The 11,063-nt window shown below is 47.9% G+C and overlaps 1 pseudogene; it reads left to right on the top strand.

Annotated features, from left to right (window-relative positions):
• The first annotated feature begins 9,423 nt into the window (after window positions 1–9,423).
• Window positions 9,424–10,529, top strand: LOC112267981 (prefoldin subunit 4-like; annotated as a pseudogene).
• The last annotated feature ends 534 nt before the right edge of the window (window positions 10,530–11,063 follow it).

Here is an 11,063-nt window from a genome sequence, read left to right as displayed (position 1 = left end):
AAGCCTCAGTGTAGCACCCACATTATCATTCAGTTAGTCTAAGGTGAGGCCTGAGTCCATATATATTTGATACGTGGTCTCACTCTGTTACCCAAGCTGGCATGCAGTGGTGTGATCTCAGCTCACTGCAACCTCAGCCCCCTAGGCTCAAGCAATCCTCCCACCTCAGCCTCCTGTAGCTGGGATGACAGATGTGTACCATCAAGCCCAGCTATTTTTTTGTATTTTTTTTTTTTTTTTTTTTTTTGTCGAGACAGAGTCTCATCATGTTGTCCAGGCTGGTCTCAAACTCCTGAGCTCAAGTAGTCTGCCTGCCTTGGCCTCCCAAAGTGCTGGGATTACAGGCGTGAGCCACCACACCAGGCCCATTTTGGATTTTCTAGTAAATTTCTCTACTGAAGAATAGTATAATGCAATAAATTACACAAATCTTCAATGTGCTGCTCAATCAGGAGTTTTAGATAGTAAAAATACCCAGGAGGGCATCACCCAAAACAAGATACAGAACACTACCATCGCTCCAAAAGCTTCCCTCCTGCATTTTCTCCATGCTTAATCCCCAAACCTAAGGTAACCATGACTCAGGCTGGAGTGCAGTGGGGTGATCTCGGCTCACTGCAACCTCCACCTCCTGGGTTCAAGCGATTCTCATGCCTCAGCCTCCTGAGTAGCTGGGATTACAGGCACCCACCACCAAGCCTGGCTAATTTTTGTATTTTTAATAGAGACGGGGTTTCACCACGTTGGCCAGGCTGGTCTCAAACTCCTGACCTCATGATCCACCTGCCTTGGCCTCCCAAAGTGCTGGGATTACAGGTGTAAGCCACCACACCCGGCCATGACTCTGACTTCTATTACCCTAAAACTACCTGCTGTCCAACTTTGTATAAACACAGTCATTCCATATGTTTTACTTTTTTTGTCTGATCTCTTTTTGCTTAGCACGTGTCTGTGATATTCATCCTGAGTCATGGTGGATAGCAATAATTGCTAAGATAGCATTGCATTCTCTGTACTGTACCATAACTCATCCATTCTCCCGATGATGAATTGTTGGTTTGTTTACAGTTTGGGGCTACCATCAATAATGTTGCTATGAACACTTCTGTATGTGTTGTTTGGTGCTCGTGTAGATGCATTTCTCTTCCTGGATTCCTCAAAGGGTCCATAAGAAAATGGTGACCGACATTAGAGAAATGCAAATCAAAACCACAATGAGATATCATCTCACACCAGTTAGAATGGCGATCATTAAGAAGTCAGTAAACAGGCCGGGCGTGGTGGCTCACGCCTTCACGCCTGTAATCCCAGCACTTTGGGAGTCTGAGGCGGGCAGATCACGAGGTCAGGAGATCAAGACCATCCTGGCTAACAGAGTGAAACCCCGTCTCTACTAAAAATACAAAAAATTAGCTGGGCATAGTTGCGGGCGCCTATAGTCCCAGCTACTCGGGAGGCTGAGGCAGGAGAATGGCATGAACCGGGAAGCAGAGATTGCAGTGAGCAGAGACCATGCCACTGTACTCCAGCCTGGGTGACAGAGCAAGACTCCGTCTCATTAAAAAAAAAAAAAGAAGAAGTCAGTAAACAACAGATGCTGGAGAGGATGTGGAGAAATAGGAACGCTTTTACACTGTTGGTGGGAGTGTAAATTAGTTCAACCATTGTGGAAGACAGTGTGGTGATTCCTCAGGAATCTAGGACCAGAAATATCATTTGACCCAGCCATCCCATTATTGGGCATATACCCAAAGGATTATAAATCATTCTACCATAAAGACACATGTACATGTATGTTTATTGCAGCGTTGTTTACAATAGCAAAGACTTGGAACCAACCCAAATGCCCATCAATGATAGACTGGATAAAGAAAATGTGGCACATATATACTGTGGAATACTATGCAGCCATAAAAAAGGATGAGTTCATGTCCTTTGCAGGGATGTGGTTGAAGCTGGAAACCATCATTCTCAGCAAACTAACAGAGAAACAGAAAACCAAACACTGTATGTTCTCACTCATAAGTGGGAGCTGAACAATGAGAACATATGGGCACAGGGAGGGGAATATCACACACTGGGGCCTATTGGGGGGTAGGGGGCTAGGGGAGGGATAACATTAGGAGAAATACCTAATGTAGATGACAGGTTGATGGATGCAGCAAACCACCATGGCTCATGTATACCTGTGTAACAAACCTGCATGTTCTGCACATGTATCCCCGAAGTTAAAGTATATAAAAAAGAAAAGAAAATGGTGACCAAGGCACAAGCTCCAGACCCAGGAGATGCTCAGTGGTACAGCAGGTAAACACTCTTCAACCTTGCCCAGGAGCAACTAAGCAGCTTTGGGGAAAGAGAAGGAGTTGCATCCCAACTCAGGAATCTTGTTTCTTCTAATGATTGGTTCTTGTGAGCTCAGTGAAGAACCGCTGCCTTCTCCCAAGAGGGAGGTTAAGATACTTGCCCAGTGTCACCAATAACCTTGTGTCAGGGCCAAGCCATAATGAATTTCAGGGACAACAAGTTCCCAAAGGTGGCCATGTTTCTGAGCCTTTCAAATAAAGCCTCTGTTCTCAGAGGAGCGACTTTCCTTGCCAAGGCTCACTCAGGAGACTTTAGTAATTAATTACTAGTTGCAAACTAGTAAATTGGAGTTAATTATCTGGACAGATCTAATTGCAACTACAACTTTGTTGAAATTAAATAAAACACCACTTTAAAGTGCACAGAGCCTTTAAAGACATTACTTAAAGGTGTCTGAACATGTCCAGCCGTGACCGTGAGCTTGCTGGAATGAGGAAGCTGGAGAATTATGCTGTAGATGCTCCAGTTCTTCATGGAACAACCTCCCTCCACCTCACCTGCTCCCCAGCATTCCCAAGGTCCCAGGAAGGAGGGATATGGCCCCTCCTTCCTGCCATCTATCCCATAATATGCCTGATTCAGCTCAAGGGACTGGCGTAGCCTGCTGATTTCTCCCCTGTTGTTCTTATGTCAGGCTCTCCTTGAACATCACCTTGTTGTGAGGCCAGATCCAGGGACATTGGGTCTTACTCCAACAGAACCTCTGCAGGAGGGGCAGCTACCTGAACAGCCTCAGGAATTCAGAGACAACAGCTTCCAGGAGGAGACACTGAACCCGGCTGATGCCTGGAGGAAGGCTCAGTGTTAGCCAGACAGAAGAGATAAGGAATCCTCACAGAGGAAACAGGATGTGCAAAGGGCTGAAGGCAAAAAAAAGTCTGGGAAAAATGAGAACCTGCTATGACAGGGGTCACCAACCCCCAAGCCATGGACCTGTTTCTGGCCTGTTAGGAACTGGGCTGCACGGCAGGAGGTGAGTGGCAGGCAAGTTAGTGAAGCTTCATCTGTATTTGCAGCTGCTCCTTATCACTTGTGTTACCGCCTGAGCTCCACCTCCTGTCAGATCAGTGGCAGCATTAGATTCTCATAGGAGCTCAAACCCTATTGTGAACTGTGCATGTGAGGGATCTAGGCTGTGTGCCCCTTAAGAGAATCTAATGCCTGCTGATCTGTCACTGTCTCCCATCACCCCCAGATGGGACTGTCTAGTTGCAGGAAAACAAGGTCAGAGCTTCCACTGATTCTACATTATGGTGAGTTGTAGAATTATTTTATATATTACAATGTAATAATAATAGAAATAAAGTGCACAATAAATGGAATGAACTTGAATCATCCCAAAACCATTCCCCAACCCCATCCTTGGAAAAATTGTCTTCCATGAAACCAGTCTCAGGTGCCAGAAAGGTTGGGGACCTGCTATGCCACGAGTTCAATGTGGATGGAGAGTGAGTGAGCTGTGGGTTGACCAGGAGCAGGGCAAACCTTTTGGGTCATTGTAAAGACTTAAGACTGCACCCCAAAGAACATTCTCACTGTTGAGATGTATTTAAGGAAGGCAAGGTTGGAGGACTTCCCACTGGAAGAAAAAGTTGTGCGATTGAAAAGCTTCTGAATGAAGAACCAGGACTTCTGGATTCTTGTCTTCTGTGGGTCAGTGAAGCGGCTGCATCATTTCTCCATTCTTAATTTCCTCATAAAATGGGAACAAGTCAGGCATGGTATAGCTCACACCAGTAATCCCAAAGCTTTGGGAGGACGAGGCAGGAGGATTGCTTGAGGCCAGGAGTTTGAGACTAGCCCGGGCAACTTAGTGAGACTTCATCTCAGCAAAAAAGTTAAAAATTAGCCAGGTACAATGGTACCTGCTTGTACTCAGGAGACTGAGGCAGGAGGATCACTTGAGCCCAGGAGTTAGAGGCTGCAGGTGACAGAGTGAGACCTTATCTCTAAAAATAATAATAGTAATAATTTAGAAATAAAATGGGAACAGGCTGGGCACGGTGGCTCACACCTTGGCTCACACCTGTAATCCCAGCACTTTGGAAGGCCGAGACGGACAGATCACTTGAGGTCAGGAGTTCAAGACCTGCCTGGCCGATATGGTGAAACCCTTTCTCTACTAAAAATACAAAAAAAAAATTAGCCAGGTGTAGTGGTGAGCACCTGTAATCCCATTTACTCAGGAGGCTGAGGCACAAGAATTGCTTGAACCTGGGAGGCGGAGGTTGCAGTGAGCCGAGATCATGCCACTGCACTCCAGCCTGGGCTACAGAGTGAGAAACTGTTCAATGGCACAGCAAGTGAATGCTCTCTATCCTCACCCAGGAACATCTATGATGAGGTCATGCATACAAACCTGAAAGCCATGAAGAACTACCCAGCCTGATAAGGATTGCAAATAGCTTGCATTTGAAGGCATAGACCACCATGTACACAGGACTTACCATGGCCATAACCCAGAAGGCCATCCAGCTCTGAAGCTCACCCGAGCAGAGGATGGAGAGTATCACAGCGTGGACCTCACCATCCAGTCAGTTGTGGAAATCACTCTGTTGCTGTGTCTCTCCAGATGATGGTGGAGTCCACACCTACCCATTCCTCCTCCTGTTTCCACACCACTGAGTTGGCCCACAACAGATAACTTCTAGATGCCACCTCTCTCTAAAACTCTGATTTGTCACTGAGGTTGCAGCCTGCGAAACCACAGCCCACTTGCCGGGACCATGGCATCATTTCTAGCTCTGTCTGTCCTGTCCCTTGAAAACAATTCAAACCAGACACCACACATAGGGCAAATAGGATTGTCCTTTGCCAAGAAGGATGCAGGGCTGACCTCTCCCCAGAGGCCAAAGCATTCAAGGGTTAGTTCAGCCCATGTGGTGACAAGTGCCAAACTCAGATGACCAGGGAAGCTGAGAGGCAAGAAGGGACAGTGGGTCTGAGGGGCAGAATTCCTGGGTTCAGTAGCTGCATGACTTTGAGCAAGAAACTTAACTTGTCTGAACTCCCATTTTCCAGCCTTCCCAGTGGAGCTTTTTAGCTTAAATTTTCCTGAACTCATTTAATAGTTTGATGATGTTCACCCAAAAAGAACAAAGATGCGCTGGGCTTGGTGGCTTATGCCTGTAATCCCAGCACTTTGGGAGGCCAAGGCAGGTGGATCACAAAGTCAGGAGTTCAAGACCAGCCTGGCCAGCATGGTGAAACCCCATCTCTACTAAAAATAAAAAAATTAGCCAGGCATAGTGGCGGGCGCCTGTATTCCCAGTCAGGAGGCTGAGGCAGGAGAATCGCTTGAACCCAGGAGGCAGAGGCTGCAGTGAACCGAGATCGCACAATTGCACTCCAGCCTGCATGACACAGCCAGGCTCCATCTCAAAAAAAAACAAAAAAAAAAAAACAAAAAAAACAAAAAACAAAGATGCACAGCAGAGCTGAGAGAATCTCTGGGGTCCAGATTCGCCTTTAATTGCTCCGAACAGAGGTTGTCTTATGTGGACAGAGACCAGCAGCTGTGCAATTCCAGTGCTAGCGAGGTCACGACGCCTTGCAGCTGCCACCCACCTACCTCCCAATGGCAATGCAGCCACCATCTGCATTCATCTCTGAGCACCCAATGTCCTAAACACCAGCACCATGTAGAAAGAAGGAGCCCTGGCCTGGACCGCAGCCTGCTCCAGACTTTTCCAGTCCTCCCACACACCTGCTTTGTGATTTTGTAAAAACCTTCCCCTCTGAGAATGTCAGTTTCCTCAATGATGAACTTAAGGATGTGAACTCTTCTCTCTAGCCCTGCCTAGCTCTGAAATGCTACAAATCGATGACACAAGGAAAGGCAATAATGAGCCAGGCATGGTGGCTCATGCCTGTAATCCCAGCACTTTGGGAGGCCGAAGCAAGAGGATTGCTTGAGATCAGCCTGGGCAACATAATGATACCCTACCTCTATTTTAAAAAGAAAGAAAGGAAAGAAAGGAAAGAAAAGAAAGAAAGAAAGAGAGAAAGAGAGAAAGAGACAAAGGGACAAAGGGAGAAAGGGAGAAAGAGGGAGGGAGGGAGGAAGGAAGAAAGGAAGGAAGGGAGGAAAATGAAGGAAGGAAGGAAAAGGAAGGAAGGAAAGAAAAGGAAGGAAGGGAGGGAGGGAGGGAGGGAGGAAGGAAGGAAGGAAAGGGAAAGAAAGTAAAGAGAGGAAAGGAAAGGAAAGAAAGGAAGACAGAAAGAAAAGGCAATAACACAGCTAACTTGGAGTGCTTACTCTGTGTTAGACACTGAGCACACTACATATATTAGCTTAATCAACCCTATAGTGACCACAGAAGTGAGACACTGTGTTTACACCATTTTAGACATAAGGAAATAGGCACAGAGCAATTAATTGCCTGCCAAGTTCTCACAGCAATGAGTGCCAGCCTCTCTCTCTGGTTGCAAGCCTCACTCACCATCCTACACTGCAGCAGGTCACCGTTCCCAGCGCTCCTTTCTCCCCAGGCCGTCCAGACGTGTGGCTTCCTACATCCGGGCACCAGCAGAGGATGTGCCATCTTTGAAAAACACCAGCTGGAAATATAATGTGGTCTTGAAATTCAATAAGCTTCAGAAAGAAACTTTAGATAGGGAAGAAGACACCCCCTAGAGAAACTGCTTGTGGTTAGCAAGAATTCAGAAAGCTGAATTTACAAGTCCCCAGCAGCCCTTCGGGACTGTGGGAATAATTGGAGTAAATCAAATCTAGCAACAGAATGTGAATAAGACCAAGAACTAGAAGACTGATCGAGAGCAAGAGCTGCCCCTGTGAATGTGCCTGGGAAACCCAGGAGAGGATGGGTGCATCAGATGGGACCCTGCCTGGGCTGGTGTGTCCCTCCTTCCTGCCACCACCGACAAGGCAGCTATTACGAGTTGTCCCTGTGTCAGGCATTGGGGCTGCATCAGGCAGGTGGGGCAGGTGTGAATGCAACAGTCTAGGAGTGAAGGCAAGAGCCAGCAGAATGAGCAGAGGGTTGAGGAAGCTTCGAGCTGGAGAAACTAATTCCACCTGCCAGGGTTGGAAAGACTGCAGAGAGGAAGTGACTTCTGAGCTGATAATAGGATTTTACAAGGTGATAAAGAGCATTTCAAACAGAAAAGAAAGAAGAGGGAAAAAGTTGCAAAGATGTGGACGGAGGCATTCAGAGAAGATGTTACGGGGGGAGGAGGTAACTCACTGGGGCTGGAGCTGGATCTTACCTTGCACTGAAGAGTCAGAAGGTCAGTGAGGTAGTAAACGCCACATGCAAGACTGTGGACTCTCATTCCTCCTTTAAAGGTTGTAAACAGAGGAGTGTGTTGAGGGCAGCCAACCAAGCAGCAGAGAGCAGAGTGGAGAGTGATTAGGGCAGGAATGGCTGGAGGCAGGGAGATCCTGCCTGGCCAGGACAGGTGCGGGCAGGAGGCCATGGATCCAAGAAGCAACTCAGAGGTCGAGTTGTCAGAACTCGCTGTCGGTCACACTGGTGTCAGGCAGTGGACAGAGGAGTTAACCGTGAGTTTTCTCGACGCCCAGCTATGCACAGCAAGGTAGCCATGCTGTGGGTGCAGAAGGGCACGGCCAGCTTGGGGATGAAATGCAAGGGAGGTGGCTGCTCACTTAGCTTCTCCTGTGGCTTGCTGCTGCCACTCAAGGCAGCTCAAAACTGGCACTCAAAGATCTGGGACTGGCTGCCTAGCAACCTGGCTTCTCATTACTGATCTGCACACACACACACTCACACAGTCACCCACGCACACACACGCACACTCATATGCACTCACACACATGCTCACCGCATGCACAACCAGGCTGCCCCTCCCTCCACGCAGGTTCAAGCCCTCTGGCCTTTGCCCACCCAGGGTCCTTCCCTCATCCTTCCTGCAAAGCCCACGGCCCACCTTGACTCACCCCAACCTCCCCTTCTCTGAAAAGTCACCCCTGACTGCACCATGCTCACTACTCACCCTTGGGTACCCGTGATGTCTCTCTTCTGTATTTTCCCGCAATGTCATTTTAGACAACTGTAGAATGAGTAATGAGGGGAGTGAGAACTGAGGGATCCAGGGAGGAAAATGAATGTTGTGTGGGGCCAGGGGAGAGGGCAGGGTGGACGGATGTGCTCCCAGGAAGAAAGATTCCATTCCATTTGCTGGGGTTTGGATACAGGCTGGTCACAGGGTGCACAGAGCAGTCCCTGCCCAGATCTCTGTGCTTAGAGCATTCGCAGGCCAGCAGGAGAGACATGAACAAGAAATGGAAGAGGGTAGAAGGGACCTTCAAAAGCTCCATGACAAAGGAGGCATACAAGGAAGGTTCCCAAGAATAGGTCAAGAGGATAGAAACCCTGGAGCCTTCCCTTCAGGAAGTCCCACAGACACAGGGGCTCAGTGCTTTGCACGATCCCCCTAGGCTCCCAGAACTAGGTCAACCTGGGTGCAATGGCTCATTCTTATAATCTCAACATTTTAGGAGGCCAAGGTGGGAGGATAGTTTGAAGCTAGGAGTTTGAAACCAGCCTGGGCAACATAGCAAGATCCCATCTCTAAAAAACATGTAATAATAGTAATAATTAGCCAGGCATAGTGGTGTATGCCTGAAGTCCAAGCTCCTTTGGAGGTTGAGGAGGGAGGATCACTTGAGTCCAGGAATTTAAGGCTGCAGTGAGCTAGGATAGCACTACTGCACACCAGCCTGGGCAACAGAGCAAGACACTGCCTCTTAGAAAAAAAAAAAAAAAATAGGTCAGAGAAGTACTCCTCAGCCAGAAGCCCAGGCCCAACCTCAGGCAGCTCAGCTCCAGGGCAGCCTGCCTCCAGAGCAGGGCTTGAGACCACCACCCTGGGCTGCCCGGGATCTGGATTCAGATGCCCAGAGCAATATCAGTCACATGAAGCAAGAGAGAGGTGGAGATGTAAAATGCCCCAGGCCCAAGGAGGAGATGTTGAGAGTGACAGTGGCCACAGAAGAGGCAGAGGTGACCAAGTGAGCAGAGAGGGGATGAAGCAGCTAAGGTATCAGCCAAGGCGAGGCAGCCACTTGGGAACATGGCAGGAGGTAGAAAGGGTTTGAACAAGGGGCCCAGGGTCGTCGATTCAGCAGGTAGGGCTAGAGGCAGTCAGTCTCACCTTCTTGCTGTCACAGGGACTCATGTGACTGCATCCTCAGAATGCATCTGTTCTTCCTCCACAACTTCTGCAGAGCCCTTTGATGTGCCTGCTACCCTACCCAGCCTCTGCCTGGAAGAGCTGACAAGCCCCATAACACCGAGTGTATCAAGATGGTGCTGCGAAGATGATGGCCACCATGAAGCCAGCAAAAATATCCATGTTACTTTCAAAGATAAACAAAAGACAAACAGATTTTCAGAGAAGTGGAGGTGGAGCTAAAGGTATTTCTGTTTCTTCCTTTAGCTCCACCAAGCTAAAGGAAGAAACAGAAGTAAAAAAAGAAGCACCTCTATAATTTAGAAGATGCTTGGGATGACATCATTCTTGCAGATGACAATGGCTTAATGATACCTTATCAAAATGGTAATGTGTTCATTAGTCATTCTCAAGAAGAAACATAAGAAGGATGGGTGCAGTGGCTCATGCCTGTAATCCTAGCACTTTGGGAGGCTGAGGCAGGAGGATCATATGAGCCCAAGAGTTCAAGATCAGCCAGGGCAACATAGCGAGGCCATATCTTTACAAAATACCAAAAATTAGCAGAGCATGGTGGCATGCATCTGTAGTCCCAGCTACTTGGGAGGCTGAGAAGGGAGCATTAGTTGAGCCCAGGAGTTCAAGGCTGCAGTGAGCTATGATTGTGCCACTGCAGCCTGGGCAACAAAGCAAGACCTTGTTGAAGAAGAGGAAGAGGAAGAGGAAGAAGAAGAAGAAGGAGAAGGAGAGGAAGAGGGAGGAGGAGGAAGAGGAAGAGGAAGAAGAAGAGGAAGGAGGAGGAGGTGGAGGAGGAGGAGGGAGGAGGAGGAGGAGAAAAGAAACACAAAAAAATGTTAGAAGAAGCAAAGAAAAAGAAAAAATTGCAAGAAGAAATTGATGCCTCAGTGTCCAGAGTAGGATCAATTCAATGGGTGTCAGCAGATTTAAGGGTTCAGTTCTATGCAAAATGTGGGAGCAACATAAATGCTGAAGCTGATGAAAGTTAAACATTTTTTAAAACTTTTAGAAATGTGTTTAATACACTTGAATATTGTTTTTTGGTTTTGGTTTTTGTTTTTTTGAGATGGAGGCTCACTCTGTCACCAGGCTGAAGTGCAGTGGCTCGATCTCGGCTCACTGCAACCTCCACCTCCCGGGTTCAGGTGATTCTCCTGCCTCAGCCTCCCAAGTAGCTGGGACTACAGGCACCCGCCACCGCGCCCGGCTAATTTTTTGCATTTTTAGTAGAGACGAGGTTTCACTGTGTTAGCCAGGATGGTCTCAATCTCCTGACTTCATTATCTGCCTGCCTTGGCCTCCCAAAGTGCTGGGATTACAGGTGTGAGCCACCATGCCTGGCCTGAATATTGTTTTTATTAAGTGGGTATTGCAAAGCCAAGAGCAATTTTGCAGGCTGGTTTGATTTGTCCTTGGTACTTCCATTCTGAGTCCTTCTAGATTAAAGACAGTGTCACTTGGCTTCATCCAGTCTTCCCTACCCTGATTATGAGCAACTAGAATCAGCCCAGGTGGTCCAGGAG

This window comes from Homo sapiens, chromosome 7 (genome assembly GCF_000001405.40).
Source record: "Homo sapiens chromosome 7, GRCh38.p14 Primary Assembly".
Lineage (NCBI taxonomy): Eukaryota > Metazoa > Chordata > Mammalia > Primates > Hominidae > Homo > Homo sapiens.
This window is presented reverse-complemented; position numbering and strand designations above follow the sequence as displayed.